Source organism: Homo sapiens, chromosome 12 (genome assembly GCF_000001405.40).
Source record: "Homo sapiens chromosome 12, GRCh38.p14 Primary Assembly".
Taxonomy (NCBI): Eukaryota; Metazoa; Chordata; class Mammalia; order Primates; family Hominidae; genus Homo; species Homo sapiens.
Window position 1 is genome coordinate 70,106,555 of NC_000012.12, and position 20,929 is coordinate 70,127,483.

The window sequence follows — 20,929 nt, forward strand, 5'->3', positions numbered from 1 at the left end:
CCTGACAAAGTCTCTGAGTTAATGAGTGACTTACTAAGTCTGATCCTATAATTACAGTAGCACTGAGAAGAACAATCCTTGGGTGGCCTTTTCTACTGTTTCATATTGAAAGTCATGCTGTCACCATTTTGTTTTGTTTTTGTTTTTGCCTCATTTCCAAGTTTTTGGTAATTTTTCTGATGTGTCTTTTCATTAATTAGCTCCTACAGAATCATAATCTAAGTGGGTCCAAACCATTCCATAGATCAAAACTAATACTCAAATTGGACAAGAATTCTCATTCTCTCTGCCTGCTTTATTTAATAGTCATTAAAAGTATAACTTTCAAACCAAGCTACATGGATTTCATCAAACATACTTTCTATTGCCCTCAGTTTTCTGTTCTTATTTAATTTTGCACAAATGTGGATTTGCACTAAGGAAATATTGGAGATGTGCCCATTATATAAAAATATTCTTCATTACAGCTTCCTGAAAAATGTCTGACAGTGCTTTCTTTAATTGTGTTTAGGATAACCCTATAGCTCTCACTAGCTTTAGATAGTGCAGAGAAAAATGCATCTTTCAGACTAACATCTAATAGAAAGACTTTCTTCCATTACTCAAAACTCACATCCTCTGTGGTTATTTCTTGCCTTTTACTTTTACATGTTCCTATCTCTATCTATCTCCTTGCCTTTCTCTATATACAATCTGATAAAATTTGACTTTTCTTTTTTGTTTGTTTTTGTTTTTGTTTTTTTGAGATGGAGTCTCACTCTTGTCACCCAGGCTGGAGTGCAATGGCATGATCTCAGCTCACTGCAACCTCCGCCTCCCAGGTTCAAGCGATTCTCCTGCCTCAGCCTCCCGAGTAGCTGGGATTACAGGCATCTGCCACACACCCGGCTAATTTTTGTATTTTTGTAGAGACAGGGTTTCACCATGTTGGCCAGGCTGGTCTCGAACTCCTGACAGGTGATCCACCCGCCTCGGCCTCCCAAAGTGCTGGGATTACAGGCATGAGCCACTGCGCCTGGCCAAAATTTGACCACTTTTCTAGAATTCTGATGGTTACTGTTTTGTAGCCTCTGTATTTGTCCATTCTCACACCACTATAAAAATACTACCTGAGACTGGGTAATTTATAAACAAAAGAGGTTTAATTGACTCACAGTTCTGCATGGCTGGGAGGCCTCAGTGGAAACTTACAATCATGGCAGAAGGCGAAGGGGAAGCAAGGCACATCTTACATGGTGGCAAGAGAGAGAGCAAGGAGGTGCCACACTTTAAAACTGTCAGCTCTCATGAGAACAGATTCACTATTATGAGAACAGCCATGGGTTTCCCCCATGAAAGTGCCTATCCTAGTGTCCTAGGGAAGTTTATGCTAGCATTGATGTTGGCATTCACCTGCAAGTCAATTCTTGGGCCTTCCTGTTGCTTACTCAGATGCCAGTAGGGGCAGCAGTGGCTTGGGCAGGTGGGCATGTTCATGGGAGACCACCCCCATGATCCAGTCACCTCCCACCAGGTCAACTTGTGGGGATTACAATTTGAGATGAGATTTCAGTGGGGGCACAGAGCCAAACCATATCAACCTCTTACATATAAATCATTAAAAAATGGAAGACAAGGAGAGGCTTCAAGATGGCTGACTAGAAGCATTGCATGCCTACCTTCTCCACTTAGAAGAATCAAAATAGTGTATAGATAAGCGTACTTTGAATACATTACTCAAGAGAGAACACTGGAATTCAACAAAGAAGTGACAGGAAACACCAAAATCAAGGAAGAGGAAGCAAAAGAGGAAGCCAACTTGTCTGGGATCAGCTGGGAGCTTGGAATGACTTTCCAACATGGGGAGAGTGTGAGAGACTTCCAGTGGCCCACAGGCCCACCATAGAATCATACAGTCCTAGTCACAGGGGAGCCCATTGACACTCCCAAACCCTGAAACTAACACAGAGAGCTGCCAGGAGACCATGGGATGGAACAGCTATAGGGAGGGAGCTTGTGCTGGGTCCCACACCCTTTCTGAGACCTAAGCAGCTACAGGGCTAGAGCAAGGTGCCATTCTCAAACCTAGCCTTTGGAAGACTTCACACTGTCCTGGGGTCTGGTGGCACTGGATCTAAGTTATTAGGGAAACTCAGGCTGTCACTGCTGTGACTGGGGTGTGTACTGAGAGTTCTACATCCAGGACTGAGAAGCATGCAAGGAGTGAGCTGCAGCTGCTGGGGCTGGGAAGTGAATACTGCCAGGACTGAGAAGGGATGTGAACAGAGCACAGGTTGCCATTGGGACTGAGTTGCAAGCTGCATGGGGGCTCCTGCAGCCAGGGCTGGGACACAAGCTAGGTGTAGGCTATGGCCATCAAAGCTGGGGAACAAGCCTATGGGGACTGGGACATGAGAGGGACCTGCAGTCCCTAGCGAACAGGCAAGGCCATAGTTACTGAGGAATGCCCCACTGAGGCCCTGCCACTGAAGGCTGTTAAAGACCCTCAACTTAGCACTCCACCTGGGGCCTGAGAATTGTTCTGTTCCTGCTGACCATGGCTAGTGCTTGCTCAGCACTAGCTGAGCAAGTTCATTAGGGAACTTGAGCACAAGCCTACCCAGCAAGGCTTTATCTCTACCCCCTCTGAGAGAGATGGCATAGCACAGAGTCCTGGGGATGGTCCAACCCAATTCACCACATTGAGTACCTGAGTGCTCCAGGGGCTTGAATTTGGGCCTAAATTCCTGGCCAGAACCTCCTCAGCTGGCATCTACCTGCAAGCACCACCTGTGTGCCTGGAGACTGGCCCACCTAGCTCATCACAGCCACTTCCAACATCAGCACACACTGCTTGGGACCTAGAGATTTGTCCCACCACTGCTAATGCCATCACCAATCTCTCATACCAGCTTCCCAGGGGTCTGAGAACATGCCCATCTGCCCAGACCACTGTTGCTACTGCTGGCATCTAAGTAAGCCACAGGAAGGCCCAAGAATTGGTCTGCTGGTAACTGCCAACACCAGTGCTAGCATAAACTGCCCTAGGGCACAAGGATAGGTACTCTCAGCCCACCCCTGCCACCACTAGGGTCTGAAGACTGGCCCACCTGGCATCCTAGTCCCAGCACAACTTCACCACAAACTCCACTAAAAACTGCACCCTAACCTACCAAGGAAATCACAGATACCACTAACACTATAGCTAAAGAAATCATACAGAGACCACATTACTCCACACACCCAAAATCAAAGCCAAAGTGCCCTATCCAGCCAACACTACAGATACATCTATAGGAAAAATTTTCCCCTATAAAATTAATGTAAAAATAGGAAGAAGTGACTATTACACCAGATGTGCAGATGTCAATATAAGGACAAAGGAAACATGAAAAATCAAAGAAATGTGGCCTCCAAAGGAACACAGTAATTCTCCAGTAATATATCTTAATTTTAAAAAAAGGTCAAAATCCCAGATATACTTTGCAACTCTGATGTGCTAAAAAAAATCAAAATCCCAGATAAAGGATTCAAAATATTGATTTTAAAGAAACTCAGTGAGATACAAGAGAATTCTGAAAAATAATACAAAGAAATCAGAAAAATAATTCAGGATATGAATCAGAAATTTACCAAAGAGATACATTAAAAAAAAAAAGGTACTAAATAGAAATTCTGGAACTGAAGAATTCATTGTAGAAAATAAAAAATACATGTAAAAGCTTCAACAATAGACTAGATCAAGCAGAAGAAAAATTCTCAGAATTCAAAGACAAGTCTTTTGAAACAATTCAGCAGATAAAAACAAATAAAAAAGATTAAAAAGGCATGACCAAAGCCTTCGTGACATTTGGGACAACATAAGGTGGCAGAATATTTAAACTATTGGCATTCCCAAGGGTGAAGAAAATGTGAAAGGATTGGAAAACTTACATAACAAAATAATAGAAGGAAATTTCCTAAGTCTAGCAAGAGATTTAAACGTTCATATAAAGGAGGCTCAGTGAACCTCAGGCAGATACAATGCAAAAGGTCTTCTCCACAGTACCTTATAGTCAAGCTGTCTAAAGTCAAAGATAAGGAGTGACTCCTAAAATTAAGAGAAAAGAATCTAGTCACCTATAAGAGAAACCTCATCAAACTATGTGAATTATTCCAATGGCCAGGCGCGGTGGCTCACGCCTGTAATCCCAGCACTTTGGGAGGCCAAGGCAAGCAGATCACGAGGTCAGGAGTTCGAGGCCATCCTGGCAAACATGATGAAACCCTGTCTCTACTAAAAATACAAAAAGTTAGCCGGCCGTGGTGGCGGGCGCCTGTAGTCCCAGCTACTCGGGAGGCTGAGGCAGGAGAATGGCATGAACCCAGGAGGCGGAGCTTGCAGTGAGCCGAGATTGCGCCACTGCACTCCAGCCTGGGTAACAGAGCAAGACTCCATCTCAAAAAAAAAAAAAAAAAAAGAATTACTCCACAGAAACCTTACAGGCCAGAAGAGAATGGGATAATATATTCAAAGTGATTTTTTAAAAAAACTATCAGCCAAAAATACTATATCCGACCAACTTATTCTTTAAAAATGAAGGAGAAATAAAATCTTTCCAGAGAAGCAAATGCTGAGGAAATGATTACCACTAGACTTGTCCTACAATAAATGTTCAAGGGAATGCTGAACCTGGAAGTGAAAGAATGACATTTAATATCATGAAAACACATGAAAGTATAAAACTCACTGGTAAAGCAATTACACAAAGGAAGAAGAGAAAAGAGTCATGATATCACTCAGAAATCCACCAAAACACAATGACAAACAATAAGAGAAAAAGTAAAGAACAAAGAATATGTAAATCAACCAGAAAAAATTAACAATATGATAGGAACAAAGCCTCACATATCAATAATCTTGTACATAAACATATTAAATTATCCACTTAAGAGATATAGAATAGCTAAATGGATTTTAAAAATATTATTCAACTATACACTGCTTACGGGAAACTCATCTTACCAATAAAGACATGTATAGACTGAAAGTAGATGGATAGAAAAAGATTCTATGCAAACAGAAACCAAAAGTGAGCAGAAGTAGCTATACTTACATCACATAAAACAAACTTTCAGTCAAAAGCAGCAAAAAATAGAAAAATACAAAGAATGTCATTATATAATGACAAAAGGATCAATCCAGCAAGAGGATATAACACTTCTAAATATATATGCACCTAACACTTGTGCACCCACATTCATAAAGCAAATATTACTAGGTATAAAGAGAGAGAGATTACAAAACAATAATAGTGGAGGACTTTAACACCCATTCTCAGCAGTAGACAAATCACATAGACAGAAAATAAAAAAAGAAACATTGGATTTAAACTTCACTTTAGACCAAATGGATCTAACAGACATTTACAGAACATTCTATCCAACAGCTGCAGAATATACATTTTTTTCATCATCACATGAACATTCTTCAGGAGAGACCATATGTGAGGACAAAAAAGGAGTCTTAACAGGTTTTTTTAAATTGAAGTCATATTAAGTGTCTTCTAATACCATAACGGAGTAAAACTAGGAATCAATACCAAGCAGAACTTTGGAAACTATACAAAGACATGGAAATTAAACAATATGCTCCTATATGACCATAGGGTCGATGAAAAAATTAAAATGGAAACCAAAAATTTCTTAAAAGAAATGAAAATAGAAATACAACATACCAAAACTGTAGGATATGGCAAAAGCAGTGCTAAGAGAGAAGTTTATAGCAATAACCACCTACATCAAAAAGGTAGAAAGATTACAAATTAGGCTAGGCACAGTGGCTCATGCCTGTAATCCCAGCACTTTGGGAGGCTGAGGCAGTGGATCCCTTGAGGTCAGGAGTTTGAGACTAGTTTGGCCAACATTGCCAAACCCCATCTCTACTAAAACATACAAAAATTAGCCAGGCATGGTGCCATGCACCTGCAATCCCAGGTACTCCAGAGGCTGAGGCATGAGAATCGCTTGAACCCGGGAGGTGGAGGTTGTAGTACAGTGATCCGAGATTGTGCCACTGCACTCCACCCTTGGTGACAGAGTGAGACTCTGTCTCACACATACACACACACACACACACACACACGAAAGATTACAAATTAACAATAAAACAATTCACCTCAAGGAACTAGAAAAGCAAGAACAAACCAATCCTCAAATTAGCATAAGAAAAGAAATAATAAAGATCAATGTAGGAATGAATGAAATGGAGACTAAAAAAAACAATACAAATGATCAATGAAATGTAAAGTTGGTTTTTCAAAAAGATAAAAAAATTGATAAATTGCTAGCTGTACTAACCAAGAAAAGAGGAAAGAAGACCCAAATAAAATCAGAAATGAAAAAGGAGACATTACAAATGATACCACATAAATACAAAAGATCATCAGAGACTTATGAAAAACTATATACTGACAAACTGGAAAACACAGAGGAAATGGATAAATTCCTAGAAACATATGACCTGTCAAGATTGAATCAAGAAGAAATAGAAAACCTAAACAGACTAAAAATGAGTAGTGAGATTGAATCAGTAATTTTAAAAATTTCCCAAAAAAGAAAAGCCCTGTACCAGATGGATTTATAGTCGAATTACACCAAGTGTACAAAGAACTAATACCAATCCTTATGAAACTATTACAAAAAATCAAAAGGATGGAATATTTTCTAGTTCATTTGACAAGGCTAGCATCACCTGATACCAAAACCAGACAAGGACACAACAAAAAAAACAAGATCCTTGAAGAACATAGACACAAAATTCCTGAAAAAGCATTTAATAAAATTCAACATGTCTTCATGATAAAAACTCTCAAAAAACTAAGCATAGAAGGAATATACCTCAAATAATAAAGGCCATATATGACAAATCTACAACTAGCATCATACCGAATGGGGGAAAAGTCAAAAGTCTTTTCTCTAAGAATGTAAACAAGACAAAGATGTCCACTTTCACCACTCTTATTCAGCATAGTACTGGAAGTCTTAGCTAGAGCAATCAATATCTAGAGTCCTAGCTAGAGCAATCAGGCAAGAAAATGAAATAAAAGGCACTCCAACTGGAAAAGAGAAAGTCCAATTGTCCCTCTTTGCTGATGATATAATCTTATATTTTGAAAAACCTAAAGACTCAACCCAAAGTAACAGATAAAAAGAAAACTAATCTCTTGAAAAACATAGATGAAAAACTTACAAAAGCAGCCGGAGAACTGGGGGTACTCACTGGAACAGAGAACCATGAAGATGAAACAGAGAGATAAGAAAGTTGTGTCAAAGACCTTTCATGGTGCTTTGTTGTTCCAGTAGATAAAAATGATGTTAGGTACAGAGAGCTCCCTGAAACAGATGCTGACCTCAAGAGAATTTGCAAGACAACAGTTGAGGCTGAAAGCTTTTGCTCCCATTCAGGAAATGATGACTTTTGTGCAGTTTGCTAATAATGAATGTGATTATGGGATGGGGCTTGAGTTGGGAATGGACCTCTTTTGCTATGGCTCACATTATTTTCATAAAGTTGCTGTCCAGCTTTTACCTCTTGCATATAATCTGTTGAAGAGGAATCTGTTTGCAGAAATTATTGAGGATCATCTGGCAAACAGAAGTAAAGAGAACATAGACCAACTTGCTGCATGAGTAAGGTGACTTTGGTGTACAATATTTCAAAGGGTTAGTATTAAACTTGTGATTTTTGTTTTGTTTTTAAGGAATGTAAAAAATAAACGTTTACTAAAAATGTTAAAAAAAAGACTCCACCTGAAAACTCTAAGATTTAATAAATGAGTTCAGATAAGTTGTAGAACAGAAAACAATATACAAAAATCAATAGCATTTTTATACATCAGTAATGATCTAGCTGAGAAGGAAATCTCATTTATAATAGCTACAACAACAACAACAACAACAACAACAAAACCCACCAAACCTAGATACAAAGTTAACCAAGGAGGTGAACAATCTCTACAAGAACTACAAAATACTAATGAAAGAAATTGAAGGTGACAAAAAGAAGTGGAAAAACATCCCATGTTCATGGATCAGAAGAATTAATATCATTAGTATGACCATATTGCCCAAAGCAATCTACAGATTCAATACAATCCCTATCAAAATGCCAATGTCATTCTTCACAGAATTAGAAAAAACAATCCTAAAATTTATATGGAACCAAAATAGAGCCCAAATAGCCAAAGCAATCCTGAGCAAAACACAACAAAGCTGGAGGTATCACGTCACCTCACTTCAAAATATATTACAAGGCTATATAGTAACCCAAACAACATGATATTGGTATAAACATAGACACAAAGACCAATGGAACAGAAAAGAGAATCCAGAAATAGTCACATATTTGCAGCCAATGGATCTTCAGCAAAGCCTAGGAGAACTTAGGTTAAGGAAAGGATACCATGTTCAATAAATGGTATTGGGAAAATTGGATAGCTACTTTCAGAAAAAGGAACTGGATCCGTATCTTTCACTGTAAGCAAAAACCAACCAAAAATGGATTAGAGTTAAACATAGGACCCCAAACTATAAAAATACTAGAAGGAAACCTAGAAAAAACTCTCCTGGGCATTTGTCTAGGCAAAGAATTTGTGACTAAGACTTCAAAAGCATAGGCAACAACAACAAAAATAGACAAATGGGACTTAATTAAACTGAAAGTCTTCTGCACAACAAAGAACATAATAATCAGAGTGAAAAGATGACCTGTTGAATGACAGAAAACATTTGCAAACTATTTGTCCAACAAGTGACCAATATCCAGAATATACAAACAAATCAACAGGAGAAAAACAAATAGTCCCATCAAAAGGGGGCAAAGAACATGAATAGATATTTCTCAAAAGAAGACATACAAATGGCCAAGAGCTATAGGGAAAAATGCTTGACATCACTAATCATCAGATAAATACAAACCAAAACCACAATGAGATAGTATCTTAATCTAGACTGCAGAATGGCTATTATTAAAAAGTCAAGAAATAATGAATGTTGGTGAGGATGCAGAGAAAAGGAAACTCTTATACACTGTTTGTGGGAATGTAAAATAGTACAGCCGCTATGGAAAACAGCATGGAGATTTCTCCAAAACTAAAAATAGAATCAACATTCAATCAAGCAATCTCACTACTGGGTATTTACTCAAAGGCAAATAAATCAATCTATCAAAGGGATACCTGCACTCATGTGTTTATTGCAGCAGTATTCACAATAGCAAAGATATAGAATCAACCTAAGTGTTCATTAGTGGATGAATGGATAAAGAAAATGTGGTATACAATGGAATACTCTTCAGCCATAAAATAGAATGAAATGTCATTTGCAGCAACATAGATGGAACTGGAGGTCATTTTCGTAAGTGAAATAAGCCAGGTTCAAAAAGACAAATATTGCATGTTATCACTTTATGCAGGAGATAGGGAATGGAAAGATAGGTAACTGAGACTGGGAAGCATAATTCGGAGAAGTGGGGAGGTTGAAGAGTGGTGGGCTAAAGAGCACAAACATACAGTTAGAGGAATAAAATTCAGGTCTTATAGCAGAGGAGGGTGACTATAGTTAATAGAAATGTGTCGTATCTGAATAATGTACACCCTAAATACCCTGACTTGATCATGACACATTACATGCATTAACTAAATTTCACATGTACCCCATATATTTGGACAAATAAAAGTAATTTTAAAAAATAATTTTAGCTGGGTGCAGTGGCTCACGCCTGTAATTCCAACACTTTGGGAGGCCAAGGCGGGTGGATCACGAGGTCAGGAGATCGAGACCATCCTGGCTAATGCAGTGAATCCCCATCTCTACTAAAAATACAAAAAAAATCGGCCGGGCACGGTGGCTCACGCCTGTAATCCCAGCACTCTGGGAGGCCGAGGCAGGCGGATCACGAGGTCAGGAGATTGAGATCATCCTGGCTAACACAGGTGAAACCCCATCTCTACTAAAAATACAAAAAATTAGCCGGGCGTGGTGGCGGGTGCCTGTAGTACCAGCTACTCGGGAGGCTGAGGCAGGAGAATGGTGGCAACCCGGAAGGCGGAGCTTGGCGTGAGCCGAGATCGCGCCAGTGCACTCCAGCCTGGGCGACAGAGCCAGACTCCGTCTCACACATACACACACACACACACACAAAACAACAACAACAACAAAAATCAGCTGGGCATGGTGGCACGTGCCTGTAGTCCCAGCTACTCGGGAGGCTGAGGCAGGAGAATCGCTTGAACCCGGGAGGCAGAGGTTGCAGACAGCTGAGATTGCACCACTGCACTCCAGCCTGGGCGAAAGAGCAAGACTCTATCTCAAAAATAATGATGATAATAATAATAATTTTAATGGCTTAAAAAGTAGAACCAACCTAAATCGCCACCAGCTGATGAACGGATAAATAAAAGGTGGTACATCCATACTAATACATGCTACAACACGGATGAACTTTGGAAAATTATTCTAAATGAAAGGAGCCAGTCCCAAATGACCAAAGTGTATATATAACTCGATGTATATGAAATAGGCTAATCTATAACAACATGTTTAGTGGTTGCCTAGAAATAGGGAGTAGTGGGAGGCCAAAGAGTATGGGGTTTCTTTTCAGGTTGATGAAAATGTCTAAAATTGATTGTAGTGATGATTTCACATCTCTGTGAATATATTAAAAACCAATGAATCATTTTTTAAAAGGAAGATGAGGAATATTATTAAGTGAAACTATAAGCCCAATCTTAAATCCTTCCTCAGCCCCCAAATAAAAGATTAGTGCCATTTTTAAAATGAGTTCAGAGAATTATCTTGTTTGGTAAATTTGTGTCTAAATTTCTGGTTATTCTTTTTTGATATTTTTCCTAGAAATGGAATTACTGCTTCAAAAGGTATGAACTCTGGATTCAGACTCCAGGTCATTCTCCCATCTCAGATCTCTTACCAGCTTTGTGACCTGGGTAATGAAGCCCTTGGTTTTCTCATTTGTAATGTGGGCATCATATTATAGAGTTGTTGAATAATACATAAAAAAATTTTAGCCCAGGCCTGTAACTCAATAAATGGTAGAAACCAAGAGCACCATCCACTCCGTACTTCATCATGCATTCCATTTAAATGTCATCTCTTGACAGGAGACTTCTTTGCCTATCCCCTTCAACCCAGATATTCTCTACCAGAGTTCCCTGTTTGTTTCTTTTATAGGACCTTTACAATTTGTAATTATTTATTTATCTTATCTTTCTTGCCCATAAAACTAGAAACTCCAGGAAGCTAAAGTAATGTATACCTTATTCACCATTGTATATCCAGAACCCAGCCTAGTGCCTGGCACATAATAGATGTTTAGTAAATATTTGATAATGAATGGATCTAAGCCCTACACAGGACTACAATCACTCAACATCACAGAAGAGAGCCTCTCATATAAATTATGTGGAAATCCCTTTTTTTCCTCCAGCTTTTGCCACTGTCAGGGAATTGAGAAGATAATTTCTGGATGCATAAATACTGTTAATGTTCTTTATGTCATGTGCCAAAAGTATATTATAAGGATATTTGTAAGTAGTGCGTAGTGAATATTAAAATGTGCAAATGTCCACTTTGTATTACCTTCCTAAATATAAATACAACTAAATTTGTATAACTAATGAGCATTCTTAAATGCGAGAGATTTATAAATGTGATCACTCCTTCATTACTCACTATGCTTTTGACAGATTACTAGATACACAAATTATAGGTGTCCAGCACCTTCATTTTTCATCCAGCATTTAGATCTCCTTCTCTGCATTTAATTTAACACAACTCACACCTTCAGCTAACTCAAAGAAAATGCATCAAAATAGAAAATCCATATGTGTTCATTTGAAATGCACACTATAGTAAATAATCTGGGTGTGGTGCTGACAGAGCTTAGTTTTGCAAAACATATATTTAGTCAAATGATATCTACAGAATTACTTTATGAGTCCACAAATCTGATAGCATTTGCCCTCACTATCCTTATTCAATCTTCTGGGAATTCCAGCTCGCTTTATAAGAATAAAACTAAATGGACATTTTGTCCTCATCATTTCTATCCTAATGAGAAATGTTCTTGTTATTTTTGCATCCTAATTATTTTAAGTGGTCAAACCCAGAGGCTCAAAAAAAAGGAAAAGAAAAGTAGACTCTGAAGGTAAAGTGGCTTAAATACATGTTTTTGAGTTCTGGATTGAGAAGAAGCACTGGAGTAATGATGGGAATATTCAGAATGAACTCTTTCAAGGTTAAGTACATTTGAGAGAAAAATCATACGGATTCAAACACGTACGAAGCTATATGCCTCAATTTATCTTTTTACTTTCTAGACTACTGGTAAACTAAATGAAGAGACTGTGTTTTATACTGTTGTTTCATTTGGTTACTCTTTGTGTTCAACACATTTCCATTTTAAAAGTTAAAGCAGAGAACCAAATAGAAAAAAAGAACACACATTGAATTCAGGCATAACTTCTACCTTATCAAGTACATATAAATTATAACACAAAGATGCTACAGAATAAGCTTTAGGTGAGGGTTTTTAGACTTAGAGGTATGCATTGATTAAATCTCAAGTCATTCTGTTGATAAAATATCAGAAAGACACAAAGCCTGTAAAGGAAATATTAGTCACTATTTGGCTTTGACCTAAAATAACTGAACCTAGAAAAAAATCAGCTAGCAGATATACAAGCAATACCCTCTAAAGTTCATTCAAAGTCATTTTGCTTCATCAGATTCATCTACATTATGAAACAACAAGGCCTTGGTGTTTTCAGGAATCTGTAGATTGAAAGAAAAAGGGACCCAGATTCTAGGCTGTAGAATCACAATTACGATGCTCTGTTATTGACAAGAATTGTAACCTTATATCTCCAGGCCTCAGTTTTTTAATATGTAAATTGAAGGAATTAAATTAGATTGTACTAAGTATCCTGTGAGCTCTAATGTCCTAGACGTCAATGTTCCTAATGAACATCATAATGTTAAGAGCATCCCACCCACCTGAATACTTAATACTTAAAGCCTTTGGTGAATATTCTCCTTCTCATCAAACACTATACTTTTAAAATGGGTTTCTATTGGCTGGGAATTGAGAGCACAAAACACAGACTTTTGTCTTCTTCATAATTTTGTCTAGGCATGGCCACTGCCTTTTCTTTGTCCTTATATGTTGCAGTAGCATAGTGGCTTTGGAATCAGGTAGACCTGAGCTGAAGTGTCAGCTTTACCAGTAACTAGTTTATGACCATCTTAAGCAAGTCACTTAATATTTTTGAAATGTAGTTTCTTCATCAGTAATGTAAGCATGTGAATAATATCTATTTCATAAGGTTTTGTAAGGATTAAACAAGATGGCACATAAAAAGCCTTTGGATTTGAAGATCAACCTAGTGTGTGTGTGTGTGTGTGTGTGTGTATACACACACACATATATATAAATAAAGACTTTGGTGTACTGCCTGCCACATGGTAAGTGTTCAATTATTATTGACTGTCTCTTCCTATCTTAATGTGTGCTATGGATTTGTGTGGTTGGGAGGGCTTTGGGCTTGCACTTGAAGGTGAGCAGAGATTGGTGCAATAGAGTAGGTTAAAGAGAATGGGTTTGGAAGGGCAAATGTAAAATGCCAAATTTAAGTTTCAAAAAGAAAATTTGTACAACAGTGATTTTAAAGTCTATTTATAAAGCTAAATTAAGCAACACTAAGGGAACTCTTATCTTGTTTTTATTTAGCAAATTGGTGACAAAATGCATGTCTGCAATTAAGAATTTCCAAACTAAGCTCAGTAAATCCCAAATTTGGATTCTTTCATTAAAAACTACCTTCTGCAAATTAAAGAAAATATCCAAAAATGTTACTTAATAGATCTGAGTGGTAAGAGTGTAGGTAACATTTACTTGCTCCTTTATATATACTACATATATTTTCCAAGTTTTTGTTTTCTAAAGTAATAGTATTACTTTATAATAAAAAATTAGTCATTATGGGGAAAAAAGATGTGAATCTTTCATGGATATGTTTTTAGAACTTAGATTCTCCAGTAGCTATTTAGTATTTGCACTTTTTTTTCTGTTAATAATGTATTTATTTAGCCCTCCTCTGTGTCTGCAGCATCAAAGTTGCTGCCTCAAAGACTGTGAAATTCTAAGATGATTTCAATACATCAAACACTCCCACTGGGATACAGTAGAAAGATCCAAGTTCAGGGTGAGGAGGGGAAAGCAGTCAAAGAAACCAAGATTTAAAAAAATTTTATATACATTTATTATGCAGATATATACATGTATACAAACATACGCAAATACATACATAAACTTACATACACATACAAATACACACTGCTCCCACATCATCACTTTCTGTTGCTTTTTATACTGGATAAGGTTTGATTATTGCTAATGATACCCAGCTGTGCCAATTCCTTGAGCTCTATACCCATGCTTTTCTTTCTAAGATCTAATTTTTCTTGCCATTTAAATAGTTTTCCAAAATGAGGGCATTCTGACAGACCCTGATCTAGCATATGGTTGGCAAATACCCAATGAGTACAGGATGCTTAGCCAGATAATTCAGATACCACAGATGTGGCCTCTGCCTAAATGACCTTAAATGGGCCCCAGGGCCTAGAGGCTGAAGGCATGCTAAGAGACCAAATTAGAAGTCACAGTTAATGGGAAAGTGCATTAACCCCCAACTTATTCATCTAGGAATAGGCATATGTTCAGAATTATTAGTGGCTTTTAGGGAGGGCTAGCTTTATATATTCATTTCCTTTCAGAGTTAGAGAAGAAATTAGAAACCATGTAGTCCTACCACATCATTTTCACATATGAAAAAATAGAGCCAGAGATGCTAAGTATTTCACAGAGAGCCATCATGCCTCCTAATACCTTGAATCTAATGTGAGTCTTTGGTTGTAAGCAATAGAATCTTCCCTGGCTAACCTAAGCAAAAGTAATCATGTTGGAAGACTATGGGGTGCTCACAGAAGTAAAGCAAAGCCTAGAGTACCAAGATCAGAAAAAACAAAAACCAGTTAGCTTTGTTAGTCTCAGGAATAGGAACTGAAAGAGCCATCATTGAATAAGAGGTGCCAACTGTTGTTTTACCCTTATCTCTGCATCATTACATTAAAGAGTTATGTTAAAGTTGCATCATTACATTAAAGAACCAGGAAGAAACAGTCAGATTGACCTACCTTGAGTCATTCGTCCACACCCTGGCCAGTAGAGGCAGGTACTTTATTCAAGTTTTCTCACCAAGTTTTCACTTAATAGGGGAAGTAATTCCACAAAAGGAAATTGGAATACTATTATACTATTACTCAAAAAGCAAAAATGGATTTTTAAAATGCTGTGTCTACTATAATTATCCAGTGTTCATTTTACCACATCAAACAGTCTTGTTTAGGTAGAGAAAGTCATGTGTTCATAAACACCTTCCTCATATTGCTTACAGATTTATAAATTTCTAAAATTGACAATTTACATATTCTAACTTTGTCCTGTGTCACTTGTTGACAAGCAAATACTCCTGAAGTAGGTAATACATTTATAAATTAGGCGTTTGAGAACTCTGTGTGCAACATGATGGGAAAGGACAGTGAAAGGAGAAGTCAAGGATACCAATGCCAAACATTGTCTTCATGCTTTTCTTTAGTCTTGACCCTGGTGTAAGGCTCATAAAAGTTTGCATTTTTGTTCTACTCCCTTTCAGCTAAATCCTTCTCTTTTGCAGGAATTAATTAAGTACCTGGAGATTAGTTATTTTCAACAAGGGTCCTTAGTCAGGTGAGCTGATATTTCTTCATGAGATTGTGAAAAGAACACAGAAAATACATAGAAAAGGACATAGAAAAATTCAGAGAAAAAGAAAATCCCTACCAATGCCCTTCTTTTCCCTCAGATATCCCCCTTGGAATAGGAGAAATAAAAATTGATTAATATTTTCCAATTTACCAGGAATAAGGCTTGCTTTCCAAAATTTCTGCACAGGGCCAAAAATGCATAGCAATACTAATGTTCAGGACAGAAATTGTGCAGGTGGGGTAGAGCAAGACAGCAAAATAGAAGCCTATATACTATTTGTTCCCTCTGCAGGAACATCAAATTTTAACAACTATCTGCATACAGAAAAGAAGAGTCACAAGAACCAAAAACCAGGTGAGCAATCACAGTACCTGGTTGTAACTTCATCTTGCTGAAAGAGGCATTGAGGAGGGGAAGAGAGACAGTCTTGAATCACGATGCCACCTCTTCCCCAGTATACAGCAGCAGCCATGTAGCACAGGGACAGAATCTGTGCATTTGGAGGAGAGAGAGTGCAGTGACTAGAGGGCTTTACACTGAACTCAGCGCTGTTCTGTCAGCAGAAAATAAAGCCATGTTGGGCTTAGCCAGCACCCCATCCACAGAGGGAGCATTTGGACCAGGGCTAGCCTGAGGGGAATTACCCATCCCGCAGTCAGAGCTTGAGATTCTCGGCAAGCCTTGCCACCGTGGGCCAAAGTGTTCTGAATTCCTAGGTAAACCTGAAAGGCAGTCTAGGACACAAGGACTGCAATTTCTAGGCAAGTCCTCATGCTGGGCTGGGCTCAGAGTCAGTGGACTAGGGTGACATGTGACCTAGGGAAACACCAGCTGGGGGGCTGAAGAAGTATTTATGCCAGTCCCTGCACTCCAATTCCAGCCAGCAGCAACAAAAGTGCTGGCAGCAACAAAAGTGACTCCTTCTTTCTGCTTAAGGAGGGGAGAGTTAAGAGTAAAGAGGACTTTATCTTGCAACTTGGATATCAACTCAGCCACAGGAGCATAGAGCACTGGTCAGAGTCATAACACTCCCCATTCTAGGCCCTGGCTCATGGAAGATATTTCTAGACATATCCTGGGCCAAAAGGAAACCCACCGACTTGAATGGAAGGACACAGTCCTGGCAGGATTTGTCATGTGCTGACTTAAGAGCCCCTGGGCCCTGAATAACCAGCAGCAATAACCAGATAGTACACCATGGGCCTTGGGCTCTGAAACATACTGACTTCAGGTGTCTCCAAGCACATTCCCAGCTGTGGTGGCTATGGTGAAAGATTCCTTCTGCTTGAGAAAAGCACAGGGAAAAGTAAAGGGGTCTTTTTCTTGCACTTCAGGTACCAGCTCAGCCACTGGGGTAGAACAATAAGTAAGCTCTTGGGGTCCCCAAGTCCAGATCTATGCTCTTGAACAGAATTTCTGGACCTGCCCTGGGCCAGAGGGGAGCCCATTCTCCTGAAAGGAGAGTCCCTGGCTTGGCAGCATTCACTACAGCCTGACTGATGAGCCCTGGGGTTTAAGTGAACATCAGTAGTGGCTTGGAAGAACCCACTGTGTGCTGGTGATGGTGGTGGCCACAGGGAGAGGCTCCTGTACTTGTGGAAAGGGGAGAACGTGAAAGACTTTGTATTGCGGTTTGAGTGCTAGCTTAACCACAGTAGAGTAGAACATCAAGGAAATTTCTAAAGTTTTTGACTGCAGTCCCTGGCTCCCAAACAGCATCTCTGGACCGGCCCAAAGCCTAGGGAAACTTATACCCCAAAGGGACGAATATAAAACTGGCTGGTTTCACCACCTGCTGATTATAGAGCCCTAGGGCCTTGAGTAAACATAGGGGGTATCATATCACCCCAGTTAAATTGCCTTTTATCCAAAAGACAGACAATAACAAATACTGGAGATGTAGAGAGAAGGGAACCCTGTACACAGTTGGTGGAAATGTAAATTAGTACAACCCATACAGAGAACGGTTTGGAGGTTCCTCATAAAACTAAAAATAGAGCTACCATATGATCCAGCCATCCCACTGCTGGGTATACACCCCAAAGAAAGGAAATCAGCATATCAAAGAGATATCTGCACTCCCATATGTGTTGCAGCCCTGTTCACAATAGCCAAGATTTTGAAGCAACCTAAGTAACCATCATCAGATGAATGCATAAAGAAAATGTGGTACATATACACAATAGAATACTATTCAGTCATAAAAAAGAATGAGATCTAGTCTTTTGCAACAACATGGATGGAATTGGAGGTGATTACGTTAAGTGAAATAAGCCAGGCACAGAAAGACAAACATACGTCCTCACTTATTTGTAGGATCTAAAAGTCAAACCAATTGAACTCATGGAGATACAGAGTAGAAGGATGGTTACTAGAAGCTGGGAAGGTTAGTGGGTGTGGGAGGGGGAGTGGGGATGGTTAATGGGTACAAAAAAATAGAATGAATGTCTTAGTATTGGATAGCACAACAGAGTGACTGTAGTCAATAATAATTTAATTGTTCATTTTTAAATAACTAAATTAGTATATTTGGATTGTTTGTAACATAAAGGATAAATGCCAGAGGGGATAGATACCCCTTTTTCATGATGTGATTATTATTCATTGCGTGCCTGTATCAAAATATCTCATGTACCCCATAAATATATATACCTAATATGTACCTACAAAAATTAAAAATCAGAAACTCTTTTAAAAAAGGAATTGTGTAGATCCAGTTTTCCATTGACATATAATTCTAAAGTAATTGGAAATATGCTTTCTGTTTTCTTTTCCTGTCTTTCAAAATTTATGTTTAAAATATAATTTCCAGAAGGAGGAAAGAACTAACATTGTTTGAATACCACACATTAACTCTACACAACAGGTATTTTTATTGCCATTTTCTTTAGAGATATAAAAACAAAGTCTTAAATTGATTAAGTAACTTGTCAATTTTTAGATTGCAGAATAAGTCCTGCTCTAGAATTAATACGTGTGTTTAATCATAACATTTATATACTTTTTCTATAATGTTATTATCCTACTCATCACACCTGCAAGAAAAACCTACAGTGCAGAAGATGAAAACTGAAAGATAATTTTTTATCATATAATACTGAAAATATATAGCATGGGAAATCTATTTTAATCTGTTAAAATATCCAACTATCATACAAGATCTGTAGGTGTATTTGCATGTGTAATATTTAGTTAATCCACTGTATTTTAGGCTCCTCATTGCGGGAGGGTGACACATCTGTTTTGTTTGCTCCTATATCACCAGCGCCTAGTATGGAACCTGGCACAGAGAAAGAGCTCAATAAATACTGATTGAATGGATGTTCTTGGATGCTCCATTTCACTCACTATCTCATAGATTACTAAACTTTTATACTGCTTTCTAATCTACAAATTTTCTTCTTTAATCAGTTTGCTAATTCATTCAGCTTTTGATACACAGGAATAAAATCTAATAATTCATGATGCCATTTTAGAAGTTATTTTGTTGTGGCCGGGCACGGTGGCTCACACCTGTAATCCCAACACTTTGGGAGGCTGAGAGGGGCAGATCACCTGAGGTCAGGAGTTCAAGAGCACCAACATGCTGAAACCCTGTCTCTACTAAAAATACAAAAATTAGCTGGGCATGGTGGTGTATGCCTGTAATCCCAGCTACTTGGGAGGCTGAGGCAGGAGAATCGCCGGAACCCAGAAGGCAGAGGTTGCAGTGAGCCGAGATCACACCACCGCACTCCAGCCTGGGTGACAGAGAGAGACTCCATCTCAAAACAATAAAAATAAAAATAAATAAAATAGAAGTTAATAGCCGAGAGCGGTGGCTTGCGGCCTGTAATCCCAGCACTTTGGGAGGCCGAGGTGGGCGGATCATTAGGTCAGGAGATCAACACCATCATGGCTAACATGATGAAACCCCATCTCTACTAAAAAATACAAAAAATTAGCCGGGTGTGGTGGCGGGCACCTGTAGTCCCAGCTACTCGGGAGGCTGAGGCAGGAAAATGGTGTGAACCCGGGAGGCAGAGCTTGCAGTGAGCCGAGATCGCGCCACTGCATTCCAGCCTGGGCAACACAGTGAGACTCTGTCTCAAAAAAAAAAAAAAAAAAAGAAGTTATTTTGTGGTTTTTGTTGTATGCTACCAGACAGATGGTGCTAGAAAAGAGAACATACTTTGAGAAGCATTCTTACAGTGGACACTGTTGGAGTCTCACCCAGATCCTCTATTCCAGGGAATTGCCCTCAGCTGACAGAAGTTGCCTGGCCTGCTAGGTTTATACCCCTTTCCTTACAGCCTGCCTCTCACAACCCCTTCCAGGACACTCCACAGCAAATAACTGACTGAAATGTATGTACCAAAAGCCAGTCCTTTCAGCTCAATGTAAGATTAATTCTATGGTACAATTTGTGTGTCAGAACTTCCTTGTGGAATCAGACTGAATCTAGTCTGAAACTGAGACCACATTGATGCTTAGCTTTCCCCTCTGTCCTATCCTGCTTCCCTATCTTCCTGTGTGACTCCTCCTTTCCTGAAAGAACTTTCTAAATAAAATATTTGAACAAGAATTCTGCTTTCAGGCTCTGCTTCTAGGGAATTCAGTGCAACAATATAGGAAAACACAGAGTAATGTGAATTAACATTTCTAATATAAATGTTTGATACAAGTAATCAGAACCCGAGCCAAAAACTGACATTCTGTTCAAAAAATTTATCCTTATTTTCAATTACAATATCTACTTCTTTATAATAACTTTTCATCAAAACCTAAAATAGGCTGGGCATGATGTCTCATCCTGTAATCCCAGCACTTTGGGGCATGGTGTCTCATCCCTGTAATCCCAGCACTTTAGGAGGTCAAGGCTGGAGGACAGCTTGTGCTCAGGAGTTTGAGACCAGCCTGGGCAACACAGCAAGACTTCATCTCTACTAAAAATAAAAACAAAACAAAACAAAAATCCTAAAACAACAGAATAATAATTCCTGAAAGTTAATGTGAGTTAATTTTCTTTGTTTACATTATACCCTCTGGGGTTTTTACTTTCAATAGTCTTTGGGGTATAGGTGGTTTTTGGTTACATGGATAAGTTCT

At 38.7% G+C, this 20,929-nt stretch overlaps 1 pseudogene, besides 1 other annotated feature; it reads left to right on the top strand.

Moving 5' to 3' along the window:
* Positions 3,601-3,801: a silencer, noted in NCBI's record as "peak1795 fragment used in MPRA reporter construct". NCBI's record gives its function as "represses an SCP1 promoter by STARR-seq MPRAs in K562 erythroleukemia cells {active_cell/tissue: K562}" and the evidence as "EXISTENCE:reporter gene assay evidence [ECO:0000049][PMID:32103011]".
* On the top strand, positions 7,104-7,754 carry LOC100125409 (histone PARylation factor 1 pseudogene; annotated as a pseudogene).